At 46.9% G+C, this 21,712-nt stretch overlaps 2 annotated features.

Annotated features, from left to right (window-relative positions):
• Positions 4,197–4,492: a silencer, noted in NCBI's record as "fragment chr7:139973046-139973341 (GRCh37/hg19 assembly coordinates)". NCBI's record gives its function as "represses an EF-1alpha promoter that drives an FKBP-Casp9 reporter gene in an ReSE screen in HepG2 liver carcinoma cells {active_cell/tissue: HepG2}" and the evidence as "EXISTENCE:reporter gene assay evidence [ECO:0000049][PMID:32094911]".
• Positions 12,494–12,685: a silencer, noted in NCBI's record as "fragment chr7:139964853-139965044 (GRCh37/hg19 assembly coordinates)". NCBI's record gives its function as "represses an EF-1alpha promoter that drives an FKBP-Casp9 reporter gene in an ReSE screen in HepG2 liver carcinoma cells {active_cell/tissue: HepG2}" and the evidence as "EXISTENCE:reporter gene assay evidence [ECO:0000049][PMID:32094911]".

Genomic DNA, 21,712 nt, shown 5'->3' with positions numbered 1-21,712 from the left:
TTACACAGGTGAACTCATGTCATGGGCGTTGGTTGTACAGATTATTTCATCACCCAGGTACTAAACCTGGTACCCAGTAGTTAGCTTTTCTGCTCCTCCCCCTCCTCTCTCCTGCAACCTCAAGTAGACCCAGTGTCTGTTGTTCCCTCTTTTTTTTTTTTGAGACAGAGTCTTGCTCTATTGCCCAGGCTGGAGTGCAGTGGTGTGACCGCAGCTCACTGCAACCTCCGCCTCCCAGGTTCAAGTGATTCTCGTGCCTCAGCTCCCCGAGTAGCTGGGATTACAGGTGTGCGCCACCACACTTGGCTTATTTTTGTATTTTTAGTAGAGACAGGGTTTCGCCATTTGGCCAGGCTGGTCTTGAACTCCTGACCTCAGGTGATCCACCTGCCTCGGCCTCCCAAAGTGCTGGGATTACAGGTGTGAGCCACTGCACCCAGCCTGTTGTTCCCTTCTTTCTGTTCATGAGTTACCATTTCACTCCCACTTACAAATGAGAACATGCGGTATTCGGTTTTCTGTCAAAAGAGGACTTCCTGGGGTCAAGCTTGAATGTTGTAGATAGTGAGATACAGCAAGCAGCAGGGGGTTCCTGGAGCTTGGTCTCTTACAGGCAAACATTTCTAGTGATCATGGGCCAGAAAACATCCTAGCCAGTGCGGCATCCAAAAAAAGATGAGATGCTGTTCCTTCCCAGGGGCAGCAGACTGTGTACCCTCATGGGGAAGGTTCTGGACAGGGTGGCTGTCCAGAGGCACGTTGCTAGGTGTCCCTCAGAAAGTTCTCTAGGAGCCCGCGTGAACTGCAGTACTGGGGGCTCCTGCCTTCCTATGCAGAAGGCAGCCAGAGGTTACCTTTATCTGGCCTGATAGCGGGTGCTTTGGGAATAGCTAAGAGTCCCGAATACACCAAAGTGGGCATGGTCTGAGCAGCTCACCATCTGCAAGGTGCTCACTACAATGCTGGACCTCATCTGGATGTCTGCTGATGACCATGAGGCCAAGAGGGAGGCCTCATCAAGGGCCAGAGGTGCTCCTTTAAGAAACTGATACAGGCCAGGTATGGTGGCTCATGCCCATAATCCCAGCACTTTGGGAGGTTGAGGCAGGAGGATCTCTTGAAGTCAGGAGTTCAAGACCAGCCTGGCCAATGTGACGAAACCCTGTCTCTACTAGAAATACAAAAATTACCCCGGCGTAGTGGCGCACGCCTGTAATTCCAGTTACTCGGGAGGCTGAGGCACGAGAATTGCTTGAACCCCAGAGGCAGAGATTGCAGTGAACTGAGATCACACCACTGCATTCCAGCCTGGGTGACAGAGTGAGACTCTGTCCCCCGCCAAAAAAGAAAAGAAACTGATATAGGAGCCTGGGGTAGGGACAGAACCCCCACCCTATCCTGGTGTCGTGGGGTTTCATCTTGACATGACTCCTTCAAAACCCTGTTGGCTTATGACAGCTGACCTCCCAAATAACTTTTCTCTTTCTCGGCCGGAGGTAATCAGGACAATGTGAGATTTCTCAGTGATTTTTCTTCTCCATCTGGTTTCCTGCTTTGTAGTTAGAGGAGATAACAGCCATCCCAGGAATTCTCAATATACGTATATTACTTTAGCTGAGAAAAAAATGTTTAAAGGATGGGAAAGTGTATACTGAACACCTCATAGAACGATTCTAAATGAATAGATTGGTTCTGAATGTAAGATAAAAGAGCACTTGGAAAAGTGGGTAGAGATTGGAGAAAATCACTTTATATCTCTTTCTCCTAAAGCTGTGTTAAGTTCTCTTTAATGGAGATTCTGGGAAAAGGATCTAATTCCTTTAAAAGCTGGGCTGCCCTGCAGCTGAAGCCAAGTTGTAAAACTGTTTGGGATGTAGAAAGGTTAGTAAAGAGACCGACTGTATGGCCATTTCTAACCATCTGATGGGAGGGGTATTTGGCATGGTCTAAATGCTGCCTGTGAGGAAAGCAATGATCGGAAAAATAACATCACGGGGCTTTTTATACAGCCCACTGGTATCATGATGCAATGTGATTATTTTTCTGACTTTCTGTTTTTACCACAGGAAAAGGAAGAAACTAGGGAATTGGAGGAATGCTCAGATGCCTAATTACCAGTGTTTCTCTCAGATAAATTATAAACAGGCAGTTAAAGAATTCTACTACAGCTAGGAAACAAAGCAGGCTTTAAACACTTCAGATGTCAACATGCCCCAATTTAGAAGGCGTTAGAGCTGTATATAACCCCAGAGATAATTTTTCTCCAAGGAATGATTCAGCAGAGTTAAAAAAAAAAAAAAAAGAAGTAACTCCCACCTCCCCATTCCTGCGCATATATGGCAGACATCATTAATCGAGGCAGAGTTTCTTTTTTTTTTTTCTTATGGAGCCTAGATACTGCCCCAGAATTCTTCTCAACAATGTGTGCCGAAGAACTATAAATGGATCAGAATCGGTGCGTGAACTGAACCAGCTAAAGAGGGACCTAGCACAATAGTTAAAGTATAGGCGCTAAAGTTCAGCTCAGCCACTTAAATGTTCAGATAAGTTTTCTTATCTGTAAAATGCAGATGACGAGAGGACCTATCTCCTAGTATTGTTGTAAGGATTAAATCACCACATCTAAACAGTTTGGAGCAGGGACAAGTAGTAAATATTCAACAAATAGTATTTAAAATTTTTCTAGAATAAAGAGCTAAAGAAAGTCATTTACTGTTTAACCCTGGAGGAAGTACTAGATTAAGATTTAGAAGGAACCTGTGAGTTGAAGATTTATTCAACAAAGATATTTAGCAACTACTATTATTTGCTGAGCTTTGTACGAAATGCTGTGGAGTCTATATAATGCAAGGTACCAATATATAAATCTGGGTCAAAGTTGACCTTTTTTTTTTTTTTTTTTTTTTTTTTTTTGAGACAGGGTCTCGCTCTGTCACTCAGGCGGGGTTGCAGTGGTGTAAACATGGCTCACTGCAGCCCTGACCTCCTGGGCTCAAGTGATCCTCCTGCCTCAGCCTCCCATGTAGCTGGGACCACAGGTGTGCACCACTATGTCTGGCTAATTTTTGTATTTTTTGTAGAGATGGGGTTTTGCCATGTTGCCCAGGCTAGTCTTGAACTCCTGAGCTCAAGCTATTCATCCACCTTGACCTCCCAAAGTGTTGGAACTACAGGTGTGAGCCACCACACCCAGTCTGGCATCCTTTTAAATGTAATAATATACTGACAAGTTATTTGTTTATAGTCAGTTGTTTTACATAAAATTTCAACTTAATAAAAAAAATCAGAAGATAAATGGCCAGTTAATTAAATATGAAAAGCTACTCGATTTTGTTAATAAAGAGGGAAACAAGTTAATACAACAATGGGAATAGGGGGGATGGAAGATTTGAGAAACATATCAATCTGGACATTTAACATCCAGATATAAAGAAATCCAGGAAGAGAACCGGGCACAGTGGCTCATGCCTGTAATCCCAGCGCTTTGGGAGGCCAAGGCAAGCAGATCACCTGAGGTCAGGAGTTCGAGACGAGCCTGCTAACATGATGAAACCCTGTTTCTACTAAAAATACAAAAAATTAGCAGGACGTGGTGGTGTGTGCCTGTAATCCCAGCTACTCGGGAGGCTGAGGCAGGAGAATTGGTTGAACCCAGGAGGTGGAGGTTGCAGTGAGCCGAGATCACGCCATTGCACTCCAGCCTGGGCAGCAAGAACGAAACTCTGTCTCAAACAAAAAAAAACAAAAAAAAAAGAAAGAAAAGAAAAATAAACTGGAAAGAATACACAAAACTTTTACTCATTTATTTCTGGGTCAGACATTTTTGGTAATTTTAATTTTCTTATATATATATATCATGTTTTCATTTGGATCATGTGTTATTTTAACACCAGAAAAAAAAAATCTAAGCATAAAAAGAAAGAAAGCGTGCCATCTGGTTTTGGTGTGTCACCCTGGGAAGCTCCACCATTTGGAAAGAGGAGTGCATCTGGCATGGCGCCTGGGGATGGACTCAGTGGGCCCTGGAAATACGGAAGGAACTCGTGCCTGAGGCCTGCGGCATGGGTATGGTCTGCCCTCAGGTCTCACCGCCTTCCCCCAGGGGGGCCCACAGCCCTGTGCACCAGGCAGGGCCTCCAGCTTCCCTGGTCAGGACTGCAGCGGCTGAGGCTTCACCTGGCTGTGGCTATGGCCACCCCTATAGCTGTGCTGACCCCAGCTACCACCCATGTAGGGGTCTGAGGCTGCTTAGAGGGTACAGCATCCATCTCAGATGGATGGATTGGAGGTCCTGGCTGCCCCGCACCTTCTGTGACTGAGCTGGACATGAGCTGGGCAGCAGCAAGAGTTGGGAGAGGGACCCTTCAAGACACCTACAACCTCAGCAGATGGGACTGGACTTCATCCTTTAAGCAGGGCCAAAACTCCCCACTCCCACCCAAATCAGTAGGAACCTTTTTAATTCAACAAACTGATTCTAAAGTTTATATGGAAAAACAAATAACCAGGAACTTTCGAACCAGAAGAGCAATGATAAGAGACTAACTCTACCAGGTATTTGAACAACTTTTAAAGTTACATGGATTTTATGTTATTTTACTACTTTATTTTATTTTGTATTTTATTTTATGTTTGAGCCAGGGTCTCACTCTGTTGTCCAGGCTGGAGTGCAGTGGTGCAAACACAGCTCACTACAGCCTCGACCTCCTGGGCTCAAGCAATCCTCCTGCCTCAGCCTCCTGTGTAGCTGGGCCACAGACGCATGTCACCATGCCTGGCTAAGTTTTTTAATTTTTTTGTATAGTCAGGATCTCACTTTGTTGCCCAGACTGGTCACGAATTCCTGGCCTCAAGCAGTCCTTCCACCTCAGCCACCCAAAGTGCTGAGATTACAAGTGTGAGCCACTGTGCCTGGCCTTTATTTTATTACTTTTATTTAATAGAGACAGGGTCTTGCTTTGTCACCCAGGCTGGAAAGCTGTGGTGGGAACACTGCTCACTGCAGCCTCGACATCTTGGGCTCAAGCGATCCTCCTGCCTCAGCCTCCTGTGTAGCTGGGACTAAAGGAGTACACCATCATGTCCAGCTGATTTTTTTTTTTTTTTGTAGAGAAAGAAAACACCCAGCCATGTTGATTTTTAAAATGTGGTACTAGCCTGTAAATGGATAGACAACTCAATGGAATAAATCCAAAGTTCCAGAATAGACCTAAATATATACAGGAATTTCGTTTCTAAGCAGGGTATTAGTTTATAAAATGGGCTAGACACTTGGAATGACACTATTCAATTAATGGCATTGAGACTTCTGGCTACCCATCCAGAAAGAAAATCGAATCTCTTCTTCACATCCTCAGCTAAAATAAGATACAGATTCATTGATATTAAAATGCCAAAATGGAAACCATAAAAGCAGTAGTAAAATATGGGAGATTAAAAAATCATATAGTGGAAAGGCCTTTAAAACAATGTCAAACCCAGAAATCATAAAATAAAAGGTTGAATTTTTTTTTTTTTGAGACCGAGTCTCACTCTTGTTGCCCAGGCTGGAGTGCAGTGGTGCGATCTCGGCTCACCACAAACTCCGCCTCCCAGGTTCAAGCGATTCTCCTGTCTCAGCCTCCTGAGCAGCCAGGATTACAGGCATGCACCACCACGCCCACCTAATTTTTTTGTATTTTTAGTAGAGAGGGATTTCTGCATGTTGGTCAGGCTGGTCTCGAACTCCTAACCTTAGGTGATCCACCCGCCTTGGCCTCCCAAAGTGCTGGGATTACAGGCGTGAAAATTTTGACAACACACACACAAAAACATGCCTCTAAACACTGTAATTCCACTGAACTGTACACCTAAAAATGATTTCTGGTAATGAGAGGTGACAGCGTGCCGGCAGCCCTTGCAGCCCTCCCTCACTCTCCGCGCCTCCTCGGCCTTGGCGCCCACTCTGGCCGCGCTTGAGAAGCCCTTCAGCCCACCGCTGCACTGTGGGAGCCCCTTTCTGGGCTGGCCAAGGCTGGAGCCGGCTCCCTCAGCTTGCAGGGAGGTGTGGAGGGAGAGGCGTGGGTGGGAACCGGGGCTGCGCCTGGCGCTTGCGGGCCAGCGCCAGTTCTGGGTGGGCGTGGGCTCGGCGGGCCCCGCACTCGGAGGGGCCGGCCGGCCCCGCAGGCCCGGGGCAGTGAGGGGCTTAGCACCTGGGCCAGCAGCTGCTGTGCTCGACTTCTCGCCGGGCCTTAGCGGCCTCCCCGCAGGGCAGGGATCGGGACCTGCAGCCCGCCATGCCTGAGCCTCAGCGCCCTCCAGCCATGGGCTCCTGCGCGGCCCCAGCCTCCCCGACGAGCACCGCCCCCTGCTCCACGGCGCCCAGTTCCATCGACCACCCAAGGGCTGTGGAGTGCGGGTGCACTGCACAGGACTGGCAAGCAGCTCCACCTGCGACCCGGGTGCGGGATCCACTGGATGAAGCCAGCTAGCCTCCTGAGTCTGGTGGGGACTTGGAGAATCTTTATGTCTAGCTAAGGGATTGTAAATACACCAATCAGCACTCTGTGTCTAGCTCAGGGTTTGTAAATACACCAATGGACACTCTGTATTTAGCTAATCTAGTGGGGAGGTGGAGAAGTTTTGTGTCTAGCTCAGGGATTGTAAAAGCACCAATTAGCACCCTGTCAAAACAGACCAATCGGCTCTCTGTAAAATGGACCAATCAGCAGGATGTGGGTGGGGCCAGATAAGGGAATAAAAGCAGGCTACCCCAGCCAACAGCGGCAACTTGTTTGGGTCTCCTTCTGTACTGTGGAAATTTTGTTCTTTCGTTTTTTGCAATAAATCTTGCTGCTGATCACTGTTTGGGTCCACACTGCCTTTATGAGCTGTAACACTCACCGTGAAGGTCTGCAGCTTCACTCCTGATCCAGCCAGACCACAAACCCACCGGAATGAAGAAACTCCAAACACATCCGAACCTCAGATGGAGCAAACTCCAGACACGCGGCCTTTAAGAACTGTAACACTCAACCGTGAGGGGCCGCGGCTTCATTCTTGAAGTCAGTGAGACCAAGAACCCACCAATTCTGGACACAGTAAGTCTTATGTTTTATATATTGTACCACAATAAAAAAAAGTCAATTTAGGTAAAAACAAAGTCAAAAGGCAGTGTTGGAAAATGTGCTTATAATCCACAACACAGACAAAAGACTAATATTCCTAATACCTGTATACTAACTCCTGCAGGTCTATATCTTAATAGAAAAAAAAAAAGGGTAACACTAATACCTACACTACATAGCACTTTTCCATTGCCCTAGGTAGTCTTCTAGAATTGCCTTAAGTAACATAGTTAATCCTCTCCGCAACTCCATAGGGTACGTACTGTTATTGTCCCCAAGAGAAATCAGGCATAGACAGGGTGGGTCATTTGCTGACATTCATAGCTGTTAAGCAGTGAAGCTGAGATTCAAACCCAGCCGTTCTAGTAGCTCTAGAGTCCACGATCCTAACCACCTAACTAAATTATCTAACTGCCTTTTTTGGAAACGTGCATGCGCCTTAAACATGTGGAAGGATACCTGACTTAACTCAGAATGCACAGAATGACAATTTAAAGTACAATGAGAAGGCCCGGCTTGGTGGCTCACGCCTGTAATCCCAGCACTTTGGGAGGCCAAGGTGGGCGGATTACTTGAGGTCAGGAGTTTGAGACCAGCCTGGCCAACCTGGTGAAACCCCAGCTCCACTAAAAATACAAAAATTAGCTGGGTGTGGTGGCGCATGCCTGTAATCCCAGCTACTCGGGAGGCTGAGGTAGGAGAATTGCTTGAACCCAGGAGGCGGAGGTTCAGTGAGCTGAGAATCGCGCCACTGCCCACTGCACTCAGCCCTAGCGACAGAGTGAGACTGAGTCACAAAAAATAAAAATAAAAAGTACAATGAGAGGCCTGAAGGTGGGGAAATTTTTTTAAAAAAAGATTAAAAAGAGAAAATAAAGTACAGTGATGTACTGTATTTTTTGCCTATCAGTTTGGCAAAGTTTGATAATGCTTTGTTGGTGTGTTGGTAAAGATATGGGAAAACAGGTAGTTTCAAACCTTGCTGATGAGAATGCAAATTGTGCACCAGTTTATTCCATTGAGTTGTCTATCCATTTACAGGCTAGTACCACATTTAAGAAATCAACATCGCTGGATGTTTTCTTTTTCTACAAAAAAAAAAAGTCAGTTGGGCATGATGGTATACAGATATACACATAGAAAAATTCTCCATTGATTAATCAATATTTGTTGCAGTGTTGTTGACACTAGCCAAAGTTTGGAAACAACTAATAGAGGATTGGTTAAAGAAACCCTGGACATCAATATGATGAAACACTGAAGGCACGAAGATTGGCAGCCGTGTCTTAATCTGAGATAATCTCCAACATAGAGTTAAAGGAACACATTTGAGATGTAGAATAGTGTGCTACTATGTAAGACTTTTTAAAAACAGAAAGTATACAGACACATGTGATAGGATGTGGTCTTGAATTTTCAGCAGCGTCCCCCAAAGAAAGACAATAAGAGATAAACACCCACACTTCCTAAGGAGAGACTCTAGATCCGTCCTTGGTGGATGTATTAGTCTGTTTTCACACGCCTGATAAAGACATACCTGAGACTGGGTAATTTTTTTTTTTTTGAGACAGAGTTTTGCTCTTGTTGCTTAGGCTGGAGTGCAATGGCACCATCTTGGCTCACTGCAACCTCTGCCTCCTGGGTTCAAATGATTCTCCTGCCTCAGCCTCTCGAGTAGCTGGAATTACAGGCATGTGCCACCACACCCGGCTTATTTTGTATTTTTAGTAGAGATGGGGTTTCTCCATGTTGGTCGGACTGGTCTCAAACTCCTGACCTCATGATCTGCCTGCCTTGGCCTCCCAAAGTGCTGGGATTATAGGCGTCAGCCACCATGCCAGGCCTAGACTGGGTAATTTATTTTTATTTTATGTATTTATTTATTATTATTATTTTTTTTGAGACGGAGTTTCGCTCCTGTTGCCCAAGCTGGAGTGCAATGGCGTGATCTTGGCTCACCACAACCTCCTCCTGGGTTCAAGCGATTCTCCTGCCTCAGCCTCCCGAGTAGCTGGGCTTACAGGTGCACGCCACCACGCCTGGCTAATTTTGTATTTTTAGTAGAGACAGGGTTTCTCCATATTGGCCAGGATGGTCTCGAACTCCTGACCTCAGGTGATCTGCCCGCCTCAGCCTCCCAAAGTGCTGGGATTACAGGAGTGAGCCGCCGCGCCCGGCCTAGACTGGGTAATTTATAAAGGAAAGAGGTTCAATGGATTCACAGTACCACGTGGCTAGGGAGGCCTCACAACATGGTGAAAGGCAAAAGGCACATCTCACATGGTGGGGGGCAAAGAGGGAGTGAGAACCAAGCAAAAGGGGTTTCCCCTTATAAAACTATCAGATCTCGTGAGACTTATTAACTACCATGAGAACAGTATGGGGGAAACTGCCCCCCGCTTCAATTATCTCCCACTAGGTCCCTTCCACAACATGTGGGAATTATTGGAGCTACAATTTAAGATGAGATTTGGGTGGGGACACAGCCAAATCATATCAGCAGACTTCCTAAAAGGCAGCCAACCTCTCCAGCAACGCTCTCCCATCACCTACCGCCTGCCTCTAGAAAGGGAGGCCAGAGATTCATTAGGGGAAAAATGGTGCTTTCTCCCCCTCGTGGGCTTGGGGAGGGCTTGGCCTCCCTGCAGCTGAGAGATAAGGGCTTCATGAGATCCAGTCACAAAGAGCAGGGGTGTACATCAGGAAGGGAGCCCAGAATTTTCCACCCTGGCTGGCTGTTAGTAAGTGTCTGAGTCTCAAGTCTTGGTGCTGCAGGAAAAAGTTCCTGGGGGCTTGTGGAGTGTTTCCCACAAGCGAGATGGAGTCTCGCTTTGTGGAAGGCAGGATCGCAGGGCGACTGGAGTCTGCCCTTGGCATGGAGGTGACTGAGGGCAGAGGTGGGCCCAGATGGGTGGGGACGATGGAGCTGAGCTTCCTCCTGGGCCCAGTGTGTGCCATGGGGTGTAGCTGCCCCAGGGCTGCCAGGGTGGGGGTCCTGGAGCTGAGAGAGAGCCACCCAGGCATGGTGCTATGCAGAGCCCTCAGGGGGTGCTCCAGAAATCCCGCCCAGTTTCCAAAAGGGTGAGACTGATGGGCTGAATTGGGATCCTCCCTCCCCAATTCGTATGTTGAAGTCTTAAGCCCCGGAACCTCAGAATGTGACTGTGGTTAGAGATAAGGTCTTTAAAGAGACAATTACATTTAAATAAGGTTTTAGGGTGGGTCCTAATCCAATAGGACTGATCTTTTTTTTTTTTTTTTTTTTTTTTTTTTGAGATGGAGTCTTGCTTTGTCTCCCAGGCTGGAGTGCAGTGGCACAATCTCAGCTCACTGCAACCTCCGCCTCCCAGGTTCATGCGGTTCTCCTGCCTCAGCCTCTCGAGTAGCTGGAATTACAGGCTCATGCCACCACACCCGGCTAATTTTTTGTATTTATAGTAGAGACAGGGTTTCACCATGTTGGCCAGGCTGGTCTGGAATTCCTGACCTCAAATAATCTGCCCGCCTGGGCCTCCCAAAGTGCTGGCATTACAGGTATGAGCCACCGTGCTGAGCCAAAGTTTTGATATACTTTGAATTGAACTTTTTCAATGTGGGGACATTTCTCAAAACTGAAAGTTAGTGTGAAAGTGATGGAATCTCCCTTAGTCAATGTCATCAAGGAGCAGAGCAGGCAAATCAGACAGATCCTGCCGCGAGTAGAAGATAAAGCTGTACCCTGATTATACCACACTGAGATGAGCCCGTTGAATAAATGCGGTGAGCATGTATGTGCTGTGTATGCTCTGACTGCCATGCGTAAATCATGCTTGCTAATGTGTAGTGGAGCTGCGGCGGCGGTGGAGGGGCGAACAGCAGTGGGAGGGGGATTTGTATTTTTTTCTTTTCTTTTTCTTTTTTTTTTGAGACAGAGTTTCGCTCTTGTTGCCCAGGCTGGAGTGCAATGGCGAGATCTTGGCTCATCACAACCTCCACCTCCTAGGTTCAAGTGATTCTCCTGCTTCAGCCTCCCGAGTAGCTGGGATTACAGGCATGCACCATCACACCCGGCTAATTTTTTGTATTTTTAGTAGAGACGGAGTTTCACCATGTTGGCCAAGCTGGTCTTGAACTCCTGACCTCAGGTGATCCACTGTATCAGGAGTGGTCAGGAGACCTCGGCCTCCCAAAGTGCTGGGATTACAGGCGAGAGCCACCGCGCCTGGCCTGTATTTATTCACTGTATGGAATTTTGGCCTAAGTTCTGTTTTATCTTTTTTTTTTTAAATCCAGTTCAGGGCCCGGTGCAGTGGCTTGCGCCCATAATCCTAACACTTTGGGAGGCTGAGGAGGGCGGATCATGAAGTCAGGAGTTCGAGACCAGCCTGGCCAACATGGTGAAACCCCATCTCTACTAAAAATACAAAAATTAGCCAGGCGTGGTGGTGGGCGCCTGTAATCCCAGCTACTTGGGAGCCTGAGGCAGGAGAATCGCTTGAACCCAGGAGGCGGAGGTTGCAGTCGCTGCACCATTGCACTCCAGCCTGGGCAACAAGAACAAAACTGCGTCTCAAAAAAAAAAAAAAAAAAAAATCCAGTTCAGGCCGGATGCAGTGGCTCATGCCTATAATCCCAGCACTTTGAGAGGTGAAGGCGAGTGGATCCCTTGAGCCAGAAGTTTGAGACCAGCCTGGGGAACATGGCGAAACCCCGTCTCTACAAAAAATACAAAAGTTAGCTGGGCATGGTGGTGCACACCTGTGGTCCCAGCTACTTGGGAGGCTGAGGCTCATCTGCCTGGGAGGTCAAGGGTGCAGCAAGCCAAGATCGTACCACTGCACTCCAGCTTGGGTGATGGAGCAAGACCCTGTCTCAATAAAAAATAAAAATAAAAATCCAGTTCTATAGTGCCACCCGCAATTCAGGTGACAGCCCTGTGTTTTCTCCCAACACTCCCTCATTTTGCTACCTTCTGGGTTTGGAGTGTGCCTGATCTGACTTTCCTCTTTCCCAGCCCTGACCTGGTGCCTTTTATACTATGCACATGCCTGGAAGAGACCCAGGCTTCTTCCTTCCCTTCCACCCTTGTATCTTTAGGGTTTCCATCATGCCCAGTGTGACAGCACCAGACCGTAGAGCTTAGTGGTTAAGGGCGCAAAGTCTGAAGCCACTACCTGGGCAAATCGCTCAATAGCTCTATGCTTCAGCTTCCTCATCGCTGAAAAGGAGATGATAGTTCCGACCTCATAACATTGTTGTGAGGATTATAGGAGCCAACCCAGGGTGCCATATGTAACTGAGGGTGGACATGCACATGGCACTGAGGGGTGGGCCCAGCAGCCATGGGAGGGGGCTCTAGTGGTCACTAGGAGACAGACAATAGGTAACGTCAGAAGGATCACACCAAATGGAAATCCACCCAACCAATGAGACCGGAGACTGATCTCCAGCAGCAACAACACAAAAGACATTCATCTTGTATGAAACGTCACCTAGATCATGGGTAGGACTGGGAACCTTGGTGCTCTCCAAGAAGCCACATGTCCTGGGAGTCACACGCTTCTGTGAATCTGGACTGGGCTGATGACCGGCTTTAATCAGCAGTGTGGCAGCAGGAGCTCCTCCTTCAGAACACCTATACTGACCACACAGGGTGAAACCCCAAGGAGGCCAGCTTCTCCATTAGGCCCCTAGACAAGCAGCTGAAGAACATCCAGAAGGAATTGTTTTTTTAAGTGGCAGTCCCCCTCCTGCACCCCTGTTTAAGTTAGGACGGGGTCCCATTCTGCTTTCACAGTCTTGGGACCCCTGCATTGCCTGGAAAGGAGTCTGGCTAGCCTCCTAGAGAAAGTGCTGGAAAGGCCCATCCAGCATTTCAGCTTCCCTCCAGCTGAGCCAGGCCCCAGATGAATGCCAGCCCATGGGCGAACACCAGCAAGGCCAGCAGAAAACGACCCAGTGGAGCCCAGAGCTGGGAGCGAAATAAAACAGCGGCTGTTGTAAGCCACTTCATTCTGGGGTGGTTTGCGACACAGCAATAGGTAACTGGGACAAGGACCAAGTGCTGTTTTGCTGCTTTGATTGCTTAAGGGACCCCCTGGAATTCTTGTAGCCTGGGTATAGCAGAAGAAGAAGGGGAACCTCCCCGAGCAGGACTCCCTGGTTATTTGCATGAGCTCCAGGCCTCCTGGCATCACTGTCATTCCCTAGCAGTTGACCTTGGTTTCTGTGTGGGAGGAAGGAGGCAGCCGGATGGAGGGGGAAGAGACAAAAATGTAGAGGAGACCGACCTGTGTTCAAAGCCATCTCTGCCACACCCAAGTTGTATGACTGTGGGCAAGCTATTAAATTTCTATGAGCTTCATTCCTCATCTGTAAAATGGATCTCCTTACAGAATTGTTGCCAGGATGACATGACGTTACATGTAAAGCAGAAAAATACCTTAACATAATAGGTTTCCAAAACATGATAGCTGTTAGGATTTTACCTCCTGAGAGCCGGGGGTAAGGGGGGCCCTAAGGCTGGTGGGTCAGGCCCTGTGGGACCCAGCAATGTTCTGTTGCAGGGATCAATAGAGTCATCTCCTTGTTAGGAACAGATTGACCCCCAGCACCCAATATTTGCCAGTTCCTACCCCAAACATGGCTGGGCTCATGTCTTAGACTAGGTGCCTCATTGCCCCGTTAGGCCGCCGGCTGTCCTGGAGCCAGTGTGTTCAGAGGGTCCCTGGGCTCAAGTCTAGGAGGATCATCCACGTGCCATCTGATCCCACCGAACATGAACTGATCTGATGCCTGAACTGATTACACTGAGTGTGAGACCCAACCTAGCCAGCTCCCCAATCCAACCCATGGACCAACCACTGGAGCCTGATATTTCAAGGAATCCTGAAGGGGTCATTTTTAAAGATGGCTATCCTCCTTGATGAAGTTGGAATGGGGTCTAGCTGCATAGGATAGAAAACTCCCCAAATACCAATGGCTTAAACAAGTAGTTTCTTTATTTCTCATGTAAAAGAAATCCAGAGCTGGCTCCATATGTTATGGGGACCTCGGTTCCTTTCTTTCCATCCTGCTGTCCTCAGCCTTACAAATACTTACTTCATAGTCCACAAGGGCTGCCAGAAACCCCATCATCACGTCTCTTTGTCAACAGACGAAACAGGAGAGGATGAAAGGGTGACCACTTCCTTGCAAGGAGCTTTCTAGCCAGTAAAACGTAAGCGGAAGTACGAGGAACACTCCTACTTAATCACAAGCCTAATCACAAAGCTATACCTGGCTGCAAGGGGGATTGAGAAATTAAGTCTTAAATAATAAAATCAAGGTTCTATGGGTGACAAGTTCTGAAGCTAGACAGAGGTGGTGGTTGCACAGCCTTGTGAATACACTAAATGCTGAATGCTTTAAATGGGTTAAAATAGTGAATTTTGTTATGTGTGAATTTTACCATGATAAAAAAAAAATCGGAGTTCTGTGAAAAAGGAATAGGATGCAAATGAATATTGGAGTAGACACCCAGTGGTCTTGCTATGCCTGTTTTTTTCGTTGCAACCATTTAATGGTATCAGGTATCTTGGGATCATGTGTACACCCTGTAGTCAGGGGCCGGGGTCTGTGCCTCAGAAGCTGGGGAGGGTTGCTGGCTAGCAATGTTCATCATTAGGATTTAGTGAAGAAGCTTCCTTAAAGTGAGGGATACCTGTATTGGCAACTGGAGGCGCGTGGAATTATGACCCGTGACCTGAAGCAGTTTGGTTACAAGTGGACTTTAGGATAAACAAGTCTTCTTTTCCCCTTTCTTTCTTCCTTCCTTCCTCTCTCTTTCTTTCTCTCTCTCTCTCTCTGTCTTTCCTTTTTTTTTTTTTTACTTATTTTTGAGACAGCATCTCACTGTGTCACCCAGACTGGAGTGCATTGGTGTGAACATGACTCACTGCAGCCTCAACCTGCTGGGCTCAAGCAAACCTCCTACTTCAGCCCTACAAGTAGCTGGGACTACAGGTATGCACCACCCTGCTTGGCTAATTTTTTGAAACGTAGACACAGGGTCTTGCTATATTGCTTCGGCCGGTTTTGTTTGTTTGCTTGTTTGTTTTTAGAGATAGGGTCTTGCACTGTGTCCAGGCTGGAGTGTAGTGGTGCAACCACAGATCGCAGCTCACTGCATCCTTGAACTTCTGGGCTTGCATGATCATCCCACCTCAGTCTCCCGAGTAGCTGGGACTACAGCTGTGCAACTCCATACCCAGCCAATTTATTTTATTTGTAGAGATGGGGTCTTGCTATGTTGGCCAGGCTGGTTTCAAACTCCTGGCTTCAAGCGATCCTCCTGCCTCAGCCTCCCCAAATGCTGGGATTACAGGTGTGAGCTACCACACCAGGCCCAAACAAGTATTATTATTATTATTATTATTATTATTATTATTATTATTGACACAGAGTCTTTCTCTCTCTTGCCCAGGCTGGAGTACAGTGGTGCGATCTTGGCTCACTGCAACCTCCATCTCCCAGGTTCAAGTGATTCTCCTGCCTCAGCCTCCCAAGTGGCTGGGATTACAGGCATGTGCCACAACACCTCGCTAATTTTTGTATTTTTAGTAGAGACGGGGTTTCACCATGTTGGCCAGGCTTGTCCCGGACTCCTGACCTCAGGTGATCGTCCACCTTAGCCTCCCAAAGTGTTGGGATTACAGGCGTGAGCCGCCTTGCCCAGCCCCACCCATATATTCTTATGTGGTATCTTAGGCTATGTGGGCTGCCCTAACAAAATACACAGACCTGGTGGCTTAAACAGCAGAAATTTCTCACAGTTTTGGAGGCTGGGAGGTCCAAGATCAAGATGCCAGCCAGTTCAGTTTGTGGTTTGTTTTCTTCCTGGCTTGTAGACAGCTGCCTTCTTGCTGTGTCCCCACATGGCAGAGAGAGAGAGAGAAAGAGAGAGGAGTGGAGAGAGTCAGCACTCTCTGGTGTCTCTTCTTATGAGAACACTAATCCTATCAGATCAGGGTCCCATTATTCTGACCTCATCTAACCTTTGTTAGCTCCTTTAGATCCTGTCTCCAAATACAGTCACATCGGGGGTTAGGGCTTTGAAACAGTTTGGATCTGTGTCCACCCCTAAATATACTGTCAAAGTATAATCCTCAACGTTGGAGGCAGGACCTGGTGGGAGGTGACTGGATCACGGGGGTGGTTTCTCATGAATGGTTTAGCACCATCTCCTTTGGTGCTGTCGTCGGGATAGTGAGTTCTCATGAATATCCCCCTCTCTTTCTTCCTCCTGCACCAGCCATGTGAAGTGCTGGCTTCCTCTTTGACTTCCGCCATGATTGGAAGCTTCCTGAGGCCTCCCCAGAAGTGGAAGCTGCCATGCTTCCTGTATAGCCTGGGGAACTGCGAGCCAATTAAACCTCTTTTCTTTATAAATTACCTAGTCTCAGGTATTTCTCCATAGCAGTGCAAGAACAGATAATACAGGCTTCAACATATGAATTTTGGAGGAACACAAGTCAGTCTATAGCCTGTGGTCAGGATAGAGTCATGACTTAACGATGCAGAGAAAAACGAATGTATAACCCCCTAGCCAGTGTTCTAGAGGCAGTTATAGAGCTTTATTATCCACCTCCCATTCAATGACCCTTTTCTCCCATTGTTTTCCTGAATAGTCCAGGCCGGGCCAAGTGTTTACTTCTGAACTTGATCTGATAGCTCTTTGTAATCCACAGCCCACATTCAGGATTTCCCTGTTTCTGAAAACACCAGGGAAAGCTTTTGTCCAGATGGCCTGCATTTTTGCTCCACCCCCAAAATAAAGGGGATGGTCTCCTGCCTTGCATGAAATGTCACCTAGTAAAGAAAAGGGCGGGGGGGGGGGGGGGATATTACAGAGACCAAAGCAAGGGGTGTGGCTAAAAAGTGGCTTGGCCACCTCTCCTGCCTCACCTGTCCCCAGAGGACTGAGTCTGACCCATTTGTCCAGGGCAGGGAACAGGACAGGAGAGAGGAGGAAGCAAGAGGGTTAAGTCTGTCCAAGCCTTTCAGTGTGATGAGACGAGGGTGGAGTGTCTGCCAAGAACAGGTCAGGTTCAAAACAGGAAACCCCAGGGTAGTGATGGACACTTCTCTGTCGATTTTACGTGGATCTCTAGGGAAAGTGCTGGAACTGATCTCATTCAATATATATATATAGTTTTACAACTCAGATTGAAGAGGAAGTGCACAATGAGCTCTGCAGCTTTGCCAGCGATGCTGATCTCTTCCAGGTGCTGAAACGCTAAGGTAATGGGGAAACGCTGCAGGAGGCTCCGACCGCCCTTACTAGGAGGCCAGGAGAGTGGCCCTTGCAGGGGAACGAGTGAAGTGGGATACCTGAGAGCAGAGTCAGGCTCTGCTGCCCTTATTCTCACAAGCTGCAGCAAATGCACTCCCTGAGTTCCTGCAGCTCCCAGTGTTGGTGTGGGCAGCGGGGGAGAGGTGGGATGGAGTGTTGGGGGCCCTGACCCTCTTGGGAACCCCTGTAGCAGCCCTGCCTCCTTCCTGACCTGCGCGCAGAAGCTGGGCTTTCCCGGATACTCCTGGGTTTCCCTCCTTGTGCACTGCTTGGCTCTGTGGGTACCTCCAGTGGTTCTCCCCTGTTCTTGCCCAGTTCCTCCTACCTGCTGTGAGAACTGATGACCTTCCCTGGCTTCCAACCTCAACCCTCCTCTCTGCTTGACTGGAGCTTGGTGTGACCTTAACCTGTTCCACTCCTAGATACTGGACCCTCAGGCATCATTTGGTTTCTCCCACTCCTTCCAATAAACCTGGCCCATGGGACAGCCCCTTGTCCCTTCTCCCTGACCTCACTCCACTCCAAAAAGCATTTGCTAGGAGAACAGAGAAGCCCCTCCTCCAAGTCTTTTCCTAGAACCTGCCAGGTGTTCTCCATCTTGCCTTCCCTGATTCTCTGATACCTGCTGGGATCTTAGCCTCAGCATCAGGTATTTTCTTCAACATAGTCGGCTACGATTTCAGATATATTTATTTAGTTTGTTTGATTTCACCTTGGGACTTCCTCTCCCACCTGCAAATGGTTCTGATCCTTGCTTTTGGGCACCACAACCAAGGATAACAAGTGTTCTCCTGGCACCAGGGAACCTTCCAGCCAGGACTGCTCTCCACAGACTGAGAGGTTAGGTTAGAGAATGTGTAGGAAAGAGAAAGCTTCTAAGGGGAAGAGATTTAGCTTTGTTCTACTGCATATATTAGTTATTATATATTAAGCTATTCATGTGCTATAGCTTAACATATACTGATTTATATATACACACACACACACACAAGGCTATAGCTGGCCAGGTGCTCATGCCTATAGTCCCAGCACTTTGGGAGGCCGAGGCAGGCGGATCACCTGAGGTCAGGAGTTCAAGACCAGCCTGGCCAACATGGAGAACCCCTGTCTCTACTAAAAATACAAAAATTAGCCAGGCATAGTGGCGCATGCCTGTAATCCCAGCTACTCGGGAAGCCAAGGCAGGAGAATTGCTTGAACCTAGGAGGCAGAGGTTGCCATGAGCCAAGATCACGCCACTGCACTCCAGCCTAAGTGACAGAGTGAGACTTCGTCTCCAAAAAAAAAAAAAGGGGGCTATAGCCTTATGAGGGCTAAGCTTTTTTAAGTTTCAGTTGCTGGGAGGGCAAGCAATGAAATAATTGATTCAGGCAGGGATCCTCAGTGAGTAGCAAGACCATTAGGTGAAAAGTAGCTGAGACAGAGGGTATTTGCATGGTGCCAAAATATCGCCCTGCAAAATTACTTGCTAATTCACAGAGGAAAATAGTTACTTTATGAAATAAAAATCTACAATCAAGTGACTAAATTTAGCATCATTAACAGAGGGTCTACAAGACATTATGGGGATTCCCGATGTCATGCAATGTGAAATGTTCCTGCCCCAAATAATGTTGACCTTAATCTCTTTCTTCCTTTTTTTTTTTTTTTTGAGACAGAGTCTCACTCTGTCGCCCAGGCTGGAGTGCAGGGGTGCAATCTCGGCTCACTGCAGCCTCCACCTCTCCACCTCCGGGGCTCAAGGGATTCTCCTGCCTCAGCTTCCCGAGTAGCTGGGACTACAAGCGTCTGCCACCACACCCGGCTAATTCTGTATTTTTAGTAGAGCCGGAGTTTCACCAGGTTGGCCAGGCTGGTCTCGAACTCCTGGCCTCAAGTGATCTGCCTGCCATGGCCTCCCAAAGTGCTGGTATTACAGGTGTGAGCCACTGTACCCGGCCTGATCACCTTAATTTCTCAGTCATGGTCTGGGAGAGAAATAAAGCCTGATGCCCCAAGACATCTGTATTAATCATTTCTTCAGAGAAACAGAACTAATAGGATGTATGTATATAGAGAGAAAGAGATTTATTTTAAGGAATTGGTTCATGTGATTATGGAGGCTGAGAAGTCCCAAGATCTGCAGTTGGCAAGCTGGAGACCCAGAAGAGCCAATGGTGTAGTTCCAGTCTGACTCAGGCAGGAGAAATTCACTCTTACTCTCAGGAGGGTCAGCCCTTTTGTCCTATTCAGGCCATCAACTGACCGGTTGAGGCTCCCCCATCATTAATTAGGGAGGGTGTCTGCTTTAATCAGTCTACAGATTTAAATGTCATTGTCACCCAGAAACACCCTCAAAGACATATCCTGAATAATGTTTGACATTAACTTTAATTAAATTAATGTTGACACATAAAATTAACCATCACTGCATCCTTTGTGTGTAACAATTTTTTTCTTTTTACTTTTTAAATGTGGTTATTAGAAAGTTTTTCTTTGTTTTAAATTTTTTGTTTCTATAGGTTATTGGAGAACAGGTGGTGTTTGGTTACATGAGTAAGTCCTGTAGTGGTGATTTGTGAGATTTTGGTGCACACATAACCCAAGCAGTACACAATGCACCCAATTTGTAGTCTTTTATCCTTCACCCCCTTCCTACTCTTTCCCTGAGTCCCCCAAATCCATTGTGTCATTCTTATGCCTTTGCATCCTCATAGCTTAGCTCCCACTTATGAGTGAGAAAATACGATGTTTGATTTTCCATTCCTGAGTTATATCACTTAGAATAATAGTCTCCAATCTCATCCAGGTCGTTGTAAATGCCATTAATTCTTTCCTTTTAATGGCTGAGTAGTATTCCATTGTATAGATATACCACAGTTTCTTTATCTACTCATTGATTAATGGGCATTTGAGTTAGTTCCACATTTTTGCAATTGCAAATTGTGCTGCTATAAACATGCATGTGAAAGTATCTTTTTCGTATAATGACTTCTTTTCCTCTGGGTAGATACCCAGTAGTGGGATTGCTGGATCTAATGATAGTCTTACTTTTAGTTCTTTAAGGAATCTCCTGTGTGTAACAAACTGAGTTCTCTCCTATGCATCTTGAATGGTTCTAGTATAATTAGTCATTCAATCTTTCTATATTCTGTAGTTCACATGAGGGACCCCTGTTGAGAAACCTGTTTAGAGGAAATAAAGACATAGAGGGACAAGTTAAATGGCACTACAAGAAAACAATCAGAAAAATCCAGAATGTGGAATATTTTTCAAAACCACTAACATAGTTTCTTTTAAAAGTCAATGTGAATATATATATATATATACAAATTATATATATATATATAAATTTTAAAATAAACTTTTATAAAATAGAGACAGGGTCTCACAATGTTACTCAGGCAGGTCTCCAACTCTTGGGCTCAAGTGGTCCTTCCACCTTGGCCTCCCAAAGTGCTGGGTTTACAGGCATGAGCCACTGTGCCTGGCCACTTATGTAACTTCTTTGGGCCATACTTTCCTCATCTGTAAAATGGACAGAATATCATCTACCTTGCAGAGCTACTGAGAAGATGAAAGATACTGAATATAAAGCTCTTTATACTCATTGATACTCAATGAGTAGTACAATGCCTAGACACAATGGTTGGTAGCTATTATTACTGGTGCTGGTTTTTGGGAAACCAATAAAGGTGACCGAAATGCAGTGTAAGGGAAATACAGGTAAATATGAAAGGACTCTGCCTTACTCCAGAATATGGAGTACTAGATAAAAGAACAGGAGCAGAGAGTTCAGAAAACCAAAACAAAACCCATAAGCCATAAAAAATGTTGATAAATTTGACTATGTAAAAAACAGAAATTGGGGCCGGGCGTGGTGGCTCACACCTGTAATCCCAGCACTTTGGGAGGCCGAGGCGGACGGATCACGAGGTCAGGAGATCGAGACCATCCTGGCTGACATGGTGAAACCCTGTCTCTACTAAAAATACAAAAAAAATTAGCCAGGCATGGTGGCGGGCGCCTGTAGTCCCAGCTACTCTGGAGACTGAGGTGGGAAAATGACGTGAACCTGGGAGGAGGAGCTTGCAGTGAGCAGAGATCGCACCACTGCACTCCAGCCTGGGTGACAGAGCGAGACTCCGTCTCAAAAAAAAAGAAAAAGAAAAATAGAAATTGGGCTGGGCACAGTGGTTCACGCCTGTAATCCCAGCACTTTGGGAGGCCAAGGCAGGCAGATCACGTGAGGTCGGGAGTTCAAAACCAGCCCGACCAACATGGAGAAACCCTATCTCTACTAAAAATATAAAAT

Source organism: Homo sapiens, chromosome 7, assembly GCF_000001405.40.
Source record: "Homo sapiens chromosome 7, GRCh38.p14 Primary Assembly".
Classification (NCBI taxonomy): Eukaryota; Metazoa; Chordata; class Mammalia; order Primates; family Hominidae; genus Homo; species Homo sapiens.
This window is presented reverse-complemented; position numbering and strand designations above follow the sequence as displayed.